Source organism: Homo sapiens, chromosome 11 (genome assembly GCF_000001405.40).
Source record: "Homo sapiens chromosome 11, GRCh38.p14 Primary Assembly".
NCBI lineage: Eukaryota > Metazoa > Chordata > Mammalia > Primates > Hominidae > Homo > Homo sapiens.
In genome coordinates, this window is record NC_000011.10 from 133,061,848 (window position 1) to 133,079,501 (window position 17,654).

The 17,654-nt window shown below is 47.2% G+C and overlaps 1 protein-coding gene across 4 annotated transcripts in view, besides 1 other annotated feature; it reads right to left on the reverse strand.

Moving 5' to 3' along the window:
* Window positions 1–17,654, reverse strand: part of OPCML (opioid binding protein/cell adhesion molecule like) — a 1,117,521-nt gene that overhangs the window by 646,867 nt on the left and 453,000 nt on the right. The gene's annotated exons all lie outside the window — the stretch shown is intronic.
* Window positions 2,867–3,440: an enhancer, noted in NCBI's record as "H3K4me1 hESC enhancer chr11:132934609-132935182 (GRCh37/hg19 assembly coordinates)". NCBI's record gives its function as "activates a minimal SCP1, AML or CMV promoter by ChIP-STARR-seq in naive H9 embryonic stem cells {active_cell/tissue: H9 hESC(naive)}" and the evidence as "EXISTENCE:reporter gene assay evidence [ECO:0000049][PMID:30033119]".

Below are 17,654 nucleotides of genomic sequence, written 5' to 3' on the forward strand. Positions count from 1 at the left end.
CATCCAAGCACACTTAAGTGCATGCATAAATGGGACACTAAACAGAAATTGAGGTGGGGGTGGGGGCTGAAAAGTTTGAGAATTTCATGGAAACTTTTGAGGAAGCCCATTGGATGGGGGCATAGGGTCTTGTTTAGCTACAAAAGGTGACACCAACTTTGGTTTTAGAATAAATTTCCTAGCACTGGGTGTAAAGACACCTTTCCTAGTGAAACTGTTAGCCTGGCCTAAGCTCTGTGTCATTCCAAGGGTATATGTTGTGCTAATCTCCATTATGCTCAAAGCTGCAAGTTTCCAGAGTCCACAGTGTCAGGGAGGAAAGCACAGGAGCAGCTTGCATCAGACTCCACCCGTAACACCAGACTCTACCGCAAATGTGATTCTAAATTTCTCACCCCAGATACCTGTCCTTGCCTCTGCCAGACTGGACAGACCCGAGTGAAAGGAAGTCCATGAATCCCCGCTGCACTTCCTTATCTTAAATCTCTCAGGTCCTTTTACCACCTGCATGTAGGCAAAATCGGTGTCTTCTCGAGCCTTTTCTGTTCAATTCTGACTGGCGTTACCACTATTGACAAATACTGCTGAGTAGTTTTCCAAACATTTTTAATTTGCAAATGATATCATTTAATAGAACCGAGGCTCAAGAGTCCTCCTTGCTCATAAAACATTAGTTTCCAGCTTAATGTCAAGGATTTTGGTAAAGGTCTTGGTTCAGAACGTTGCACCCTGCTTAGGTTCCAACCCTTCATCCCTCCTTTCCCTACAGATGAGATCTTCTGAGCCCTGCTTGTAGATTTAATGCGTCACCGCACCCAAGACTGCCTGAGCGGCATCCTTGGAGACCCCACTGCCCACTCTTGCTGCCAGTTCAGCTTCCATCTCCTGTTCCAGCTGGGGTTTAGGGCTGCCTCAGCAACCCTGTCATTGATCCCAATCCTGATCACTGGACCCAAGCATCGTTCCCGCCCCTGAGCCTCTGCCTTGCCAAGCTGTACTCCACAGCAGCCTCCCTAGGAATGGCTTTCTGCCTTGCTCCAGCACTGCTGCATGCAGCCAGCCGGCAGCTGCAGCGCTGGGGACTGATCTGAGGTACCTCTGCAAGACACCACTGTCTGTAAAGACAGCCGCATCCTCCTTGTGCCTGTCCAGTGCCTCCCATGGCCGGGGGCCAGCATGGGGCTTTGGGGTCATGGAGTTTTCCCGTTGTATTCCAGTCATTGTCTCAGCACGTGCTGTGAGTTCTACCGGTCAGTCCAGAGACCAGCCTTCGCAGTGTAAGTTTAGTTCCTATTCTGTCCCTTCCTATCTCTTTCTAGGGGCTCCAGTCTATAAGAGTTACCCAGAGTGGTACAGGCTCCGAGTGAGAACAGACACATGTCATACAACGGCGGAGAGAAGCAACCAGAGGGCTGGTCCCCTGGGCCACGGCTAGCCCTCAGGGATGCCTTTTCCAGCCTCCTGTCTCCTTCTTAAACCCAACAGACTAGACAGCCTCCCATGGGGTCAGAAAGGAGGAAAGCCACGTTGTGCTCTTAGAAAAGGTCCCAGGGAGCCACATTTCGTGGGCTCTGCAGTGGTGTGCCTGCACTTCAGACTGTGAAGCGGCTGCCTTCGAACCTATTTTTATAGGATGTGAATGATGACTTTGGGTCCTATTAATCTGCCGCAAGGTTTTATTCAGTCTCATGGTCAGAAAAGGTCATTTACAGAGCTGTTGGTTTTTTTTTTCGGAGGGAGTTTTGCTCTTGTCACCCAGGCTGGAGTGCAATGGCTTGATCTTGGCTCACTACAACCTCCGCCTCCCAGATTCAGGCCATTCTCCTGCCTCAGCCTCCTGAGTAGCTGGGATTACAGGTGCCCGCCACCATGTCCTGGTAATTTTTGTATTTTTAGTAGAGACGAAGTTTCACCATGTTAGCCAGGCTGGTCTTGAACTCCTGACCTCAGGTGATCCACCCACCTTGGCCTCCCAAAGTGCTGGGATTACAGGGGTGAGCCACTGAGCCCAGCCCCGGTTGGTGATTATTAATACCAGCTAGATCTTCAAAGCCATTCCTGAATTGAGAACGATTTCATGGGTGTTTTTGTGAAACGGGCTAGCTGTCAGCCGGGATTGATCACTTGACTGTGTCAGTTGCAGACAGGGCTGGAAGATATGGCTTTAATTTTCTTTCTTTCTTTCTTTCTTTAACCACAAAACAAAACACAAAACTGTTTCCTCAAGCCCCTTGTATTGGGGCCTATTGCAGGTGAAGGGGGCTGACCAAAGGAAGGAGGTGGCGCTGATCCAGAGGAGGCTGAGTGAGGGGTGGAGCGGAGCCCAGCCGAGGGAGGGAAGGAGAGGAACGCCGGCCCACTAGCCGACCCCAGCGCAACCCAGCGCGGTTCCCAGACGCTGCCGGGTAACTGATGCCGCCGGCACAGCTTCTGTTCTCACTTGTGGAGCTTTGTCTCCCCTCGCTGGGCAGCCCCTGGTACCGCAACCCGCCTGGCCGCCTTCCCGGCTGAGGCCCCCGGGCAGAGCTCCTCCGCAGGGAGCATTCCCGTGGACAAACACCCCTTTCCCTGGTAGCTGTGGCAACAGTTGATCTGTGGCAGCGGACCAGGAGGAGGGTCAAATGGGAGAAGGGACGGCCAGCTGGTCCTACCAGAGACTGTCGCTGGCGTCCTCAGGGGCCGCTGCAGGGCCACCTTGTGTGCTTGCCCTTTCCCCACGGTAGACTGCCCCGGGAGGGGGACTGTGCTGCCTGAATTCTTGTCCGGGTGGGACTGGCCTCGGTGAAGGATCCGGGAATGGGACTTCCGGGCCGGGCCGGAGGGGAAGTGTCAGGAAGAGCTCAGGCTTTAGCGAGCCTGGAGGGAAGGGAAGGCTGAGGTCTCCTCTGCCTCCGCAGCCACACGGCCCGGCGCGGGGCGGGCCGGCAGTAAACCTAAGAAGGCTTTATTCATTTCCTGGAAACGTTTCCTGGAAGCCTGGCATGTGCTAACGATACAACATTGAACAATACAAAGGTCCCTGACACGGAGCTTACGTTGCGTCCACCAGGTAGACAGGACACATACAAGATATGAAGCATAGTACATGTTTAATCTGGATGAGAAGAGGAGAAAAATAAAACAAGGAGGGAGAGGCGACCTGTCAGGGGCCAGGGTGGGGTGAGTGGAAGAAACGGTGTCCCTGACAAGGTGCCTGGTGGCCTCACCCGGAGGAAAGCACGGTGCAGAGGAAACGGTTCAGTCTGGTGCTTGAAGCCCCAGGACCCCCGAGAGAGCCGGACCTGGACGAGCATGAAGTCCCGCAGGAGGAAGGCGGCCCAGAGCCTTGGAAAATCCATCTGTGCTGAGCCTGGGCTGGGCTGCTTCACTGGGGCCTCCGGGGGCAGGATCAGCCCTGGAAAGGGCACTTTTAAACCACGTGTGCAGATGCCCACCAAGGGAACAAGGTCAGAAGGAGCCATGGCTCCAGAAGGGGTGCCGATGACGTGGCCCCCGGGGTTGGAGATGCACACCCCGCCACTGCCTGTGCTCCAGGGCAGAGGCACCTGCCCCCTAGCCAGACTTGCTTCGGAGATGGGTCGTCTCCAAGGCGCTGCCTGGAGACAAATGTGCCCCAGAGCCCAGCAAGGGCTGTAAACAAGCCGTTGTTACACGATATTGCCCGTGTGTAGGAAGGGCATCGCTTCTTTCCCTCAGTACAGTGGACACACCTGGCTCTAGCGGGCACACGCGGCCAACCTCAAGGCAGTGCTCTCTGGTTTGCCACAGTCTCACATTTGTCTGCCCAGACACGTAACTGGGACCTCAAGGGCCTTCTGTCAGCCTTGCCCTGGGATATCTCCTCCGTGTGGACAGGGTGCTTCACTTGGACTCACTGGATGGGACTTGAACACCTGCAGAGTTAAAGCTGAAACACTACCTGGGTCATTTTGGCCAGAGTGTGCACAGACCCGCAAGCACCCGAGGCTCCTGCTGCTGCGCACGCTTCCTGCCAACGTTCCCTTGCCCGAAGCTCCCTCCTCTCCCGGCTCCACCCATCACACTACTGAATCCCGATACAACACGTGCTGCTCCATCCTGCCTGTCCACACCTCTTTCCTGTGACTCTCCTCCCTCCCGGGAGTGCGCACGTCTTCATTCGTCCATCCCCTCCTGACATGAGAAATGCCATCCTCTGTGGGCCTGAGAACCTTGGTGCCCGCAACATCTGATCTCCTTAGAGTGCTAGAACAGAGCCGCCTGCCCAGGACCCTCAGGCCAGCAGCACCCTGCCCGCCTCTGCCTGCCAAGGAGGGACCATGGCCTGGGTGGTTAAGGGAGTGGGACCCTGGCTTGCCTCATGTCCACTCCTGCCAATGGCCACTCCCCTTTCAGAGGAAACCAACTCTACAACCAGTTAACAGACTAGGAATTTAAACCACAGCCACTTCCCCAATTGCAGAAACATTACTTCACCTCTCAGAGTAATGGACCAGCAATGCTGAAGACGCCTTTAAAAAAATGCCAGTCTCACTGCGCCCTCTCCTCCAACCTCCCCTTTCATAGAAGAGGTTGCCAAAGTCTAGGGAGAGTACTAGGACTTGAAGGAGGTTCCTTGTTAGTTCAAGGAACCAAACTCTGGTCCTGACTTGGGTCCTGCAATATTTTTATTATGCCAGGCGAAATCCAATTCCCAGTTCTGACTACGGTATCCAGCAACAACTAAGTCATTCTATGTCCTGGTGCAAGTCATTGGAAGACCCTGAGGCTCAAATCATCTGTCATATGAGGCTGCCACCTCGTGTTCTGTCTCCCATGTCCCTGCGAAGTTGTTGTTTGTTGTTTGTTTTTGTTTTGTTTTGTTTTTTGAGATGGAGACTCACTCTGTTGCCCAGGCTGGAGTGCAGTGATGTGATCTCGGCTTACTGTGACATCCGCCTCCTGGGTTCAAACCATTCTCCTGCCTCAGCCTCTCAAGTAACTGGGATTACAGGCATGCGCCACCATACCCACCAGATTTTTTTGTATTTTTAGTGGAGATAGGGTTTCACAATGTTGGCCATGCTGGTCTCGAACTCCTGACCTCAGATGATTCACCCGCCTCAGCCTCCCAAGGTGTTGGGATTACAGATGTGAGCCACCACACCAGGCCGGTGAAGTTGTGTTGAGATAATACCTGTGAAAGTTATCTAGAGGTAAAACCACTATAAAAATAAAATAGAAAAGTAACAATAAGCCATGAAAACTGGTGCGAAGGAATCCCTGAGTTCTGACTCTTTCCCTGTTGCTCCCTTATGGCATAACGTGCTTAAGTTTGCAGAGCACTTCCATACTCAGCCACACATTCTCACAACAATCTTTTGAAGATGTGTGATTAGTGCCATTTTCCAGATGAAGAAACTGAGGCTCTAGGAGATGAAGTCACTGTCATTTGCTCGGAGATCTGCAGTGAGTAAAGGGTGTGGCTTGGATTTGAATAGGGTCTTCCAAATCCAGACTCCAGGCTCCTCCCACTGCCAATCACTCTTCAATATGAAAGCAGCCACTGGCACTACTCAGCGTGCTAGAACAGAGAATATTCGCTCTGTGGGACTCCTCTGGGGGTTGAAATGAGGAACTTCTGAATCAGGGAGCTCATGCTCAACCCTGGCTGAATCCTTGAGAGGACTCAGGGCAAGCAGAACATCAACTCCTCCTTCAAGGGGAACAAACCATAGGCTGAAGGGAACTTTAGAGCTGCACTAGCCTGGCTTTCTTATTTTACCAAGGCATAAGCACATCCAATGGGAGAAGATGTCTTCACTCAGTGGCATAAAACACTTCCTGATGCCCAAAGTCCACCTGGGCAAAGTGGCCAGGTGGATGAAGTTAGTGTCTTGAAGCTTCTTGTTGCCTCTTTCACTGGCCCTTCCTATGCCATCGCCTCTCCCCCCAGGATCAGGGATGTCATCCCTCAACCCTGACATGGCTCATGCCCAGGTCTGCCTACTCCCACAGTAAAATGCTGTCCAACCTCCCTTTCAAAATTACCTCCGCTGGGGAAAATGCTTATCATATATTTGTGCAAAGTTTTAGCAAGGCAGCCCCATGGTATCTAGGGAGGTCTGAAGGATGGTTATCTTTGGGGGCGCAGTTATGGATCATTGCTATTTTCTTCTCTATACTTGAAGTATTTTCATGTTTTATTTTAAATTTTAACAATAATAATGCATTTATTTATATGCTTCTTTTTAGGCCTCTTCTCAGCACACTGTTCCAACCAAAATTGATCTAATAAACGTATTTATTTTAAAGCAGCAAAGATTGATACTGACAGATGGTATTTTTATTCCAGGCTCAGTATCACAGCCTAGCTTATTTCCTTAAGCCAAAACTCTGCCCTTCTGAAGTAGAATCCCAGGCATTCTGGTTTATTGGGAATAGAGCTTAGAATTGGGGCACAGTGGGTGTGGCCATGGGGAGATGAAGAAGCCCTTAAACTCTGCTTTTTTTCCTTAATAGATCAGAAGAACATCCTCATTCACTAGAATTTCATTTACATATGGGAGATTTCTGCCAGCAGAGGTCTATGCCCAAATGGTAAAGGGGAAGGCCTGCTCTCAGCCTGTCTTGTGAGCAGTGCGGACGCTGCCCTTCTTCCAGTACATTCTTCATCAAAATTCATGTGCTCTGTTCTCTCATCGCTCCCCTGTTTAGGTTCTGGTATGCACAAAACACATGCTCGAGAATTAGCTGGCACAAACAGTTGATATGTTGCTTCATGTAATGTGAATTTACATGTTCACAGGAGGGCCTGTCAGGGTAACTGGGTTCAAAGGAGTTATACTAATGAGGAAAACTCTAGGTCCTTGACACATAAATGCTGGAGATATTTTTCAGCAGACGGATATTTTGGCATTCCCTGAATATGTGTATGCATAAGTTAGCACATCTGCTTGACATCTTATTTGGTTGGGTTAGCCCCAGTTCTTCACAGATTCATTTTTTCCATACTAGTGTCAGACAAAATGGTTAAGGGTCAAGGTGCCCTAGGAGAAACCTACACATACCAAAGAGGTAGGTGGCGTCGGTCGAAAATCCTAAAGCAAGTGACTAGCTTAAACTTAGTTCACAGTGAGAGATGCAAAGAGGCAAACAGAATCAGGAGAGAGTTACTTACATTATCAGAGAACATCATAATTTGGAGCTAGATGGATCAGATCTAACATCTTAAATTGTAGAAGAAACTCAACCTCAGATTTACTGAGACATTAGTGAAGAAGCAACGGTGTAGTAAAAAGAACGCTTGAATTTTACTTGCTATGTGGAATAAGTGGATTAACCTTGAGTAAGTTATTTAAACTTGCAGAGCCTCAGTCTTCCCATCTCCAAAATGGGGATAATAATATAGACCTAAACTGAACTATTTATAAGTGAAAATGAAACCATGAAACCATGCAAGAAAATTCTTAACATTATGCCTGATACATGGTAGGCACTTATTTATATTTATTTATTTAAGTGACAGAATGCAAACTAGAAACAAAATTACTCATGTTTTAGTGCTGTTTTCGAAGGTTCATCTCAGAATTGCTTGGAAGAACTTTTCCAATCCAAGTGCCAAGCTCTCCTATTCACAGAAGAGTTGCAGTTACACACAAGACCATAGCTGGGGTGCAGGGGCGAGTGGCAATTTGTGTGTGTTCGAACCTGAATGAAGACACCCCTGAATGATGTGTAAGACACTATCAAACGTGTGTGTGCGACTACACAAATGTGAATGCAAATGGGGCTTGAAGCTACATGTGTGCCCTAAAACATGTATAGGAGTGTGTGAGAGCATGTGTGTGTGCACAAGTTTCCAAAGTGGACAAATGGCATTGTCTCAACAGCACTCCCGTTTCCTGGGCGTGTTTCTGCAAGCCTGGGTGGTATCACAAACACAAAGGCAGAGGTGACAAAGACCATTAACTCTTAGAAACGCCATATAATAATTATCATGATAGAATTGCTTTTTCATTGCCGAGCCTAATTTGAGGCCAGCTCAGAGGAGGAGGGGGACACATGAACGATTCTGGCACCATCCAAGCTGATGCTGTGGCTCTAGGTGGGAGAAGAAAAAACTCTAGGATCTCCTGATGAGCAAAAGCCAATCCCCAGCTCCCTGCTAAATTCCACTTCTAACAAGTAGTGGGGGCTGTCTAGTTGGTGTCCTTAGTACATATTAACAATAAATAAAGCTTCAATAAATATGCAAAGCAAAAACTAATTTAAATTGGCATTTGTGTCGGGTGGGGCAAGAGAGTCCGTTCCACCATAAAGTGATTTAGGATATATTACCTCGGGCATCTGCATTACAAATTTACCTCTCATTACAGCTATGTTAACGGGAAAAGGCAGCTTCTCAACAACATGCAAGGCAGAGTTTATTAGCATAAATTTGCATAATAATTAGCTCTGCAGCAAGCAAAGGCTGTCGTGTCTTTCAAACAGGCAACTTCCAATGTCAATTTTCTGTGCTTCACTGCTTGTCCCTGTTCTGTCTAAAGCTCCCGGAACCCCCTTGGCCCTTCTGCTAGTTGGTAAATTCTCCCACCCTGGTCCATTTAGGCTCAAGATTTCATAATCTCTACCCAGCATCGCCTGGGAGAAAGTGAATGCTGACTTCCACCCAGGGATGTGATGGCCAGAGGCGGGCCCACAATTCTATTGCCTATGGACGAAGGGGACTGGCTACAAGCCCTCACTCCCTACTTTCAGAGCCTATGAAGAGAGGTAACGCAACGGTGTGGCTAATTCCAAAGAAGGTGCAACTGAAACTATTTAGATGATTTTTGGAATGCATAAATCCAAGTTGTTTATTAGCAGTTTTCTTCATAATTATGTTGTGTCTAAGCTAATATTATAATTAGTTCCCATTGCCTGGGTTCATACTGGCTGGGTGGTCTGGGCAGGCAGCTGAAATGAATGAAAATTGTACCAGGGATAAAGACAAAGGAGCAGGGGCTGGGGGTCAAGCGATGTTGGTTCCTCGGACTCTGTCAGGACCACACCTGGGCAGGAGAGTTCATACCCTGAGCTCAAATATGTTTCTGCAAACTTAGTGGCAGCCTTCAGTCTTCTGAGACACAGGACACATCCTTCTCCAGCAAGCCAGGCAAGGCCTTTCCCAGCCACTGAGATGACTCTGGATGTTCACCTACAGAGGGAGCTTGGGAGAGAGAATGTGATCTCCCTGCAGGGTACGTTCTTAGAGGCTCCAATGAGAGGATGTTCTTAAATATAACCAGATATGTCTCATCTATTAAAATAAAATATACTAGGTTGGGGTGAGGCAGGTACTGGCTAAGACAGGCAGCTCATCAAAGATGATGGCTTTGCCCTATCCAAGCTCAGTGAGATAGATGTGGACAGGCGAAGCCTCTGCTGTGCTTCAAGGAAACCAGCATAGAAATGACATCCGTGTCTGTGTGTGTATGTGTGTGTGTGTTTCTTACTAGCTCAGCAAAAGGGTTTTGCAACATTTGGGTGTGTGGTGGGGGTGATTGTGTAAAACATATAGATGAGACCCTTTCTCACAAGTGGAATGATGTAAAAAGTACAATATATTGAGTGGTTTTTTATGTTTGAGACATAGTTGTATATTTAGATGTATAAATGAGTCTTGAAGATTTTTCTGATTCCAAAGTGCAAATTTTGTCAAAGGAATAGCAGGGGCTTAAGGAAAAATCACTGGCCCAGGAGTCAGACACATGGCTCTGTGCTAGCACTGCCTGTCGAATGATGTGGGCAAGTCACTCCCAGAAACCCAATTTTCCCAAATGTAAATGTAGATCATACTGAGAGGTTAGAAGTGGAACAAGTACTTTCTTGTCTGGCCTATTGTTCATTTTTAAAAGTGATGGAGAGAGTTTTAGGCCCTTTTATAGTTTAGCTAAATATTTGGTGTCTTCTCCAAAAACAAACAAACAAACAAAACTGCAGCTACAAACATTCATTCCAAATTTTGAGTACTGAGCACTCATGGGCCTCCTGTGTTTTATTCCTAAAATCCTGCAAATCCAAGAGCAAATCTTCCTGATATCGCCCAATCCTCCTATTGTATAAATGTGAACTGGGCTCAGAAAGGATAAAATGCTTGCCCAGAGTCACGGAGTTAGCGGTAGTGAAGTCAGGACTGCGTGTGCAGGACGGCCCCGTACCACCAATTGCTCCTAAGTGATTCCCAAAGGATCATCGTGCACTTGTTTACCGTACTCAGACTCGGGCCACATGAAGTTATGCGATGGGAAGTTAAAAACCACCTGCTGGAGGGTGGGATGGGGAGAGACCGCTAATGAGTACTGGTTTCTTTAATGGCCATGAAAATATTCTAGAATTAAATAGGGGCGATGGGTGCATAACCTTGGGAATATACTAAAAACTACTAAATTGCATGTTTCAAAATGATGAATTTTATGGCATGTGAATTATATCTCAATTTAAAAATAAACCTACTGTGACAATCACTCAAAATGCTATTAAAGAACTTTGCATTTGAGAAAATAAGTGAGACTAAACATTTAAAATAACTCAAAAGGCAACGACAGCATAATTCCCCTGTAAGTTGTAGGAGGAGTAAAAGCAGTTAGAAAGAGAAAATAGAAAATCTAGATATGGTTAACTAAAACAAATGAATGAATCTCTGACTCATACATGTGGGATAACACCCAAAGGGAAATACATCTTCAGACCTGCCTTACTCGCCTCTAGGGACGGCTTGATGACCAGATGTGGACTAAGTCTATCAAGTATGAAACGTCTTTTGGCACTTTTCCATAATCACCAGTTAGAGAAGGAGAGTGCGCTACGTATTGGAGAGGAGTTCGGTTGACTATGAGTGCAGTGCTGGTCTAGGGAGGGGACAGACAGTGAGTGCTGAGTAACCAGGGACAGGTGTCCTGGTGGGCTTGGATTTGTGCACCACTGCACATCTCTCCATCAAACACAAGGGGACTGTAAGTACTCAAGAGTGAGCGACAGAGATTTAGTAGAGGCATTGACTAAGTCTTGTGACACTGGTTTTACTGGGACAGCACATCTCAGCCAGGAGAACATTGCCTGAGACAAGGGTTGGTGTGAAGACAGATTATTTTGGAAGCAACTCTGGGTGACTGGTGTGAGAGAAAGGGACGGTGAAACCTGGAAGGAGGAAGCCAGCACAGAGAGAGCTCTTGAGTGAGTCACCATAGCGAAGCTGAGGTTCAAGTGAGGCTCAGTCCTGAACAGCCTTCTGAGGAACCAGGTACGATACACCTCAGAATTACCTGCCTGAGGGACGGAGGGGGAAGAACACACCCTCCATTTCTGCTTCCCCCATTAGTCATGGGTTCTTAACGATCTCAGACTCTGGTTAACACCTGAGCGCTCCCAAGTTTCCTTCAGGCACCAGTCAAGCCCTGGGGCAGAAAAGCAAGGTGCAGCCCAGGTGAGGGGCTCTCGGTTTGCACCTGCGAGGAGCTCACCATGGCAGCATTGGCTGGAATGAAAGGAGGACAGAACTGGTGTGAGTAAGGGCACAGCAGGTGCTGGGAATGGTGGATTTCCATGGACCAGCGGGACTGAAGAGGAGCAGTGCCAAAGGGCTCTCCTAGCAGGACTCCAACCACGGAAACCCAGGACAGGGAGCTGAGGGCAGTTCTCAGCACCATTCTAATGAGCTGCCCCAAAGCTGAAGTCAGAACTTGTCCTGCCATTGGCAATGCCAGCCATAGAAACTAGACTGCAGGCTCCTTGGGGGTAAGAGTTACATCAGCTCCATTTACCCCTGAGTTCTCCACGTGCAGACCTGTGCCTGCCACATGACAGGCTCTCAGTAAATAGGTAGCAAATGCGAAGTCACCGTGTTGCCAGGAATATGAAATATCTGCTGGTCTTGACATCCTAACCTTCAACAATGCTTTTGCCAAGTGATTATGAACAAATGCAATGAATAGTTACTATTTATTGACCCAGATACACGGCTATGTACTTTATATATGTTAGCTCACTGAAAACTCACAAGACCCCTTAAAAGAAGAGCAATAAATTATCATACTTGTTTGTGAATAAAGAAAAAGGCTTAGAATACTGGCCCAAGGTCACAGAAGTGGTAAATAGCACACCCTGGGATGGAAACCAGTTTGACTTATTCCAGAACGTATATTCTTCAATATTAATCCATCTTCCATTCCACGCCATCCATTCTCTACATGAATGCCTCCAGTAATGGGAATCTCATTCATTATTTGCCGAGATAGCTCGTTCAATCTTTACAGAGCCCTTGGGGCCATACAGAATAAGTCAATCCACATTTCTTTCTTTCAATATGTAAATCTACTTGAAACATCTATATCTTTCTAGAGCTCATTTCAAATGATAATCTTTTATTTTTCTAAAACCACCATGTAAAAGGGCTACTTTTCTTCCCTGACATCTGGATTCAGATATTATATCTGAGGTTTGTGTATCATATATGAGCTGGACCAGAAGACTTCTAAAGTCCTTCCCAAGTAAGAAATTTTGTTCCTCTTGCTCTAGTAAAGCAGTGGTCCCTCTCCTTACTTTGGCTGCCAGGAGCCTAAGAGTTTTAGTACCTCTATGTAAGCATACTCTGGTATTAGTTGATTACAATTTGTTGCTGTGTGTTCCAGCTCCCTTTAGAGGGAGAAGAAAGTATAAACTCTTAGCCCATGGTGGGAGCCTATGCAGACTTTCCAGGCCAGACTTCAGAGGTCCTTGAGGTTGGCTTCCAGGAGGATGGTAGCCATGGCCTGGGGAGAGTAAAGGATGCCCACCAGCTAGTCGGGGCTCTTGCCCCCAGGATCCTATGTGAAGCTTTGGTTCACAGGTCGTGAGCAGCAGGATATTCTGCTTGTTAATATAATTTTTTATCTACTCTTGCAAAAATATGATGAGAACATTAAATCCAGCCCTCTCCATAATCATGCGTCATTATCTAATCCCTTTGTTACACAGACGGCTAAGCTTTAAAATGCTGCTATAGGTGGAAACAGAGCTATCAGAAGCCACATCTCTCAGCCCCATTTCAAAAGTTGCCCGTAATGAGAAGCAAAGTTAAATAACCATGCACAGAATGACGCCCACCCCTGTCTGTCCACCATCATACTTTCTCGCAGGCATCCTCAGCTCACCAGGAAGTGGCACCTAGGGCAAGTACTGGGGGACAGGAGGGCAGAGAGCAGAAAGAAGGAAAGTGTGCGTGCAGTGGACGTCAGCCTCTCACGCGTCCCCACCCTGCCCTGTCAGCGTAGCTGCATTTTGTCACAGACTGAGTAGTAGACAAGGCTCACCTCCTCCCCATACCCCCTTTCTTAAAGTAGCTGCAAGAGTGCAAAATATTGACACTGACAGATATCAGAGGTGGCTGTAGGATCAATATTTCTATGGCATTGTCAGGAATGGTTTGGCAACCTGCTATGTGCTCACCAGCCTTTCATTCATTATGAGGCCAAACGGGAGCCATGTTTCTCCAAAGACAAAACCAGGACAGAGCGTGCTGGGTCTCAGAGGCTTCTCCTCAATGAGGCCTTTCCCTGGGACAAGGTGCTGCAGCAGGAGAATCTCTGCATTCTTCTGACAGCTTTCTAGAGAAAGGAGGCCACTTCCCAAGGGCTCTGGGGGATGAGCGGTGGGGACGCTGCCGGGAAGCAGTTCGACACTGACTGATGCTTTGCTGCAGGGGCTCTGCTCTGAAGCCGGACACTGCCAGGTGCACACAGGGACAGTTATACTGGCAGTGATGCCTCTCACGCCTGGCCCCCCAAGAAAAGTCTTGGCCAGGAAAAAGCACGATCCATCTACTCTGGGGAGAGATCTGACAATTTAATCAGGAGGAAGAAATTCTTCCGAGCCAGCCCAGGACACCTGATTCTCCCACTTCCCCCATCTCTGAGGCACTCTTTAACTTGGGGAGCTGCACACAGAGAGCAGGAGACCCAGGCCTAGGGGACCTTGGTCCTGCCAAAGCCTGGGCTCTTGGATTCCTAAGTCGGTGTGGAAACAAGAAGGAATCTGCAGCAATCAAACCTCCACCCAAATTCCAGTCAGCCTGTATTTTTTTCCTTTTTATTCAGTTATTTGAATGATAAACCTAATACCTGTTATTTGGGATGACTTAAAGGATATAAAATATCTAATGTAAAATCCATAGTCTCTCCCTCTCCCATGTACATTGGTATTACTAATTTTTAGAATTTTAGAAAGACGCTGTATGTTCTTCCATAATTTACTCTTGGTTTGTTATTTTTTATATAAACATATATAAAAATCTGTACACTTTTTTGTTTTTTTCATACAATAGGGTGGTGGGATATGTATTATTTTGTACTTCATTTACTTAATATTTTGTAGACACGCTTTCAAGGCAATGCATGCATACCTTTGGAAAACAAATTGGCTACTTCTGTCTAATTCTATATTAACTTTTCTAAATAGTTTGTCCCCCTTCCCTATTCCAAACATTTTTCTAGCTGAATTCCTCAGGTTTTGAGAGGCAGGTGATGTCTGGGATGAATTGTTGGCATTCCTCCACTGTAAGCCTCCATTCTGCACTGGTTCACTCAGACCACCCACTTCCACCTGCAAAGAAAAATGTCCCTGCATATGGGGTTCCATTTAAGATGTGAGGAAAGTAAGGCTTCAAGAGGAGATGTTATACAAGACTGTAGAATTCTAGGCCAGAATTGGCTGTGAACGTCATGCAAACGCAAGCGGCGGTCCAGACTTGATTCTCCCCTTTGGCTGGCTTCCTCCACTGTAACACAGAAAGACTCCTCAGAGCACTGTCACAAGTCTCAAATGAGACACCCCACCCCCCGCATAGAATCATGTGTGAATGCAAGCCATCATCAGCCTCATCATTGTCATCATCATCATCATCATCATGAAGATGCGGAAGCTCAGAGAAGCTAAGTGACTCTCCAGCTGGTCAGCAGGCTGGTGATGGAGCAGCGTGAAACATGCACCTCCTGACCCCACTAGGAATCTTCTGTATTCCAAAAGACTCATCTCAACTGGTTCTTCTCTGCCAAGCAGGTGAAGGCCCAGACAAAAAGATTGCAGTTGATTGATTTCTAGTAGAGCTAGTGTGGGTGACCACTTTGTGATCGGTTAGTGATGGTTGGCGGTGGGGCAGGAGGTAGCACCCAGTCTTATTTTGCTGCCCCCCATCTAGACTACCTACTGCAGGTGGCCGAGGCCTTGTCCTTGAGGGAATTCTGCAACAGAGAGTATCACTCTTTCTGGGTTGCGGTTCTCTAGAGTGATGCTAGGGAAATCAGATGAGGTGGACTTCTGAGCTTTGCTTATGGCTCTGTGAGCTCATTTAGAACTCAACCCTGCCTGGATATCAGGAGGGCTGGGTTTGGCCAAGGGAATCTGGAGAGGTCTGTGCCCCATCAAGCTGAGGAACAAGTACTGAGATTGCCCCGTGACTTGGAGCTCATCACACGGAGTCAGGTTCAAGCTTTCCAGCCCTGCCCTCATTTTCCCCGTGGGCTCGGCGTGATACCTTTCTGAGTAGGAAGTGGAAAGCAATCTGAAATCAAGAGTAAAATAAAGCAAGATCCCTACCTAATGACGCTTGTAAAACTGGATTCTATACAATTTTAAGACTGTAATGTGAAAAGTGAAATTATAAAATCAATAAAGGGAAATGTCAGAGCTTGTCTTTGTGAACTAGAACTCGGTAAGAATTTTTTTAATTACTATAAATAACTTCAAAAGCAAAAAGCACAAGGAAAAATGATGACTGAGGATGACAGAATTAAGAATTTCTATTAAATGAAGGAAGCACAAGAAATATGTTAACAGTCAACTCATTGGGAGAAGACATTTGCAATGCATAAAAACACCAAGGGATGAATACTTTGTTTCTACAAAGAAAATCTTCAAATCAATAAGAAAAAGAAAAGACTCCTATTGGAATATAGGCAAAAGATGCAAACAGACAATTTAAACATACAATGCAAATGCCCATCTACCGGCCACAGAAAAAAAATACTCAGATAAATACAGACTGAAAGAATCAGAATGTGGAATACAAGCACTTCACACATAATTTGCTGGGAAAAACTGGAAAGCTGGATAATGGCAAGAGTTGGAGGGGATACAGAAAATATGAGAAACCTTATGGAAGCCGCGATTCTAGGGAGGAATCTGGTAACTCTTAGACTGAGTAAATTACATTGCTATGACCTAGCAATTTCACTTCTGAGTCCATCTCAGCCCCCAGGTATTATCGGCGTACTGAAGTGGGAATCTGCAAAGATGTCTGCTGCAGTGTTGTGTAGAGAAGGGGACCGGACAGACATACTTGAGGTGCACACCAAGCAGGGGTGTGGACGCACCGAGCACGCCACGGTGGCTGTGCGCAATGAACTCAAGATGCGTGCAGCCGCCCGGACGATCTGATAAACATGGGGCTGAGTGAAAACACGGGAACAAGGAGACACCCAACACAGTATCACCTACATTGCTCCATTAAAACAGCTGAACATCTACACGCTTTCCACACTGGACACACAAACACGGCAACACGACAGACACACTGCATGTGTGCAGGGACTACAGCAGAGACTGAGGATAAAAGAAAATGAGCAATGGAGTGAGCAGGTCCTTGTGTAAACCGGTGACAAAGAAAGGAATATGTTTCAGTCATTAGCCTGTGCCGGAGTGAAAAGGAAATAATAATATAAAAGGCAACACGCTTTTGAAGTTTAGAGACCTGGCTTCTACCCCTGCTCAATGACTCCTGCTGTCTAGGCCCTTGACCCTCATCCCTCCAGTGAGGAGGGCGCAGACAACCCTGGAAATCACCTCTGGTCTAAGGTTCTGGGATGCACCACGGGCAGCTCCCTGAGCGCCACAATGCTCGCTTTTACAGAGCGGCACTGGCTCCGATCAGGCACAAGAGGGCGCTCCGTGCCCGTGTATTTTAAGAATCTTGGCTGTCACTCCAAACTTAAGACGTAAACCCAGAAATCTCTCCACCGCCCCCAACTACCACCTTCATACACTCCTTATGCTATGCTATTCTTTTACTGCTTGAGAAATACAAAGCACCCACCTACTAGGGGTTATAAACGACAGATTTTAGAGACTTCCGAGGCCACGTGAATCTTTTTTACTGGAATCCTTACATTCCCCAGATGTGCCACGTTAGTTCTCCCTCTTGTTGATCCAAGCTCATCCCCACCCCAATATTCCTTCCTCCCACCCAGTTCCTGCCGTGTCTCACCCAGTTTTCCACATACACGCCCGCCTGAATTGATCTCCGGGCCCCTGGCTCTCTCTGGATGAAGACATTTGCCGTTGGCAAGCATGTTTGATATGAAATTGCTTGTACTTTTGATACGCATTTTAAGCTAGTGTAAGTAACGAGAGGCGTATTTCAACTGAACAGAAGGCAAGAATGGATCCATGGAGCACACAGCCTCACAGCAGGGTTATCCCATCTGAATAATCTCCCCTTTCCGGAGGTGCTCAAGGCCAGGCATTGACCATGCAGGAATGTCACAGGGGGACCCACATTTTTGATGGGCAGCTGGAGTAGATGGTGCTTCAGATGATTTATAAGCATTCATTTGATTTTCATATATGTGGATTCAACTTATGATCTCAGATCTGATTTCCTTTCAGATAAATCAAAAATCTCT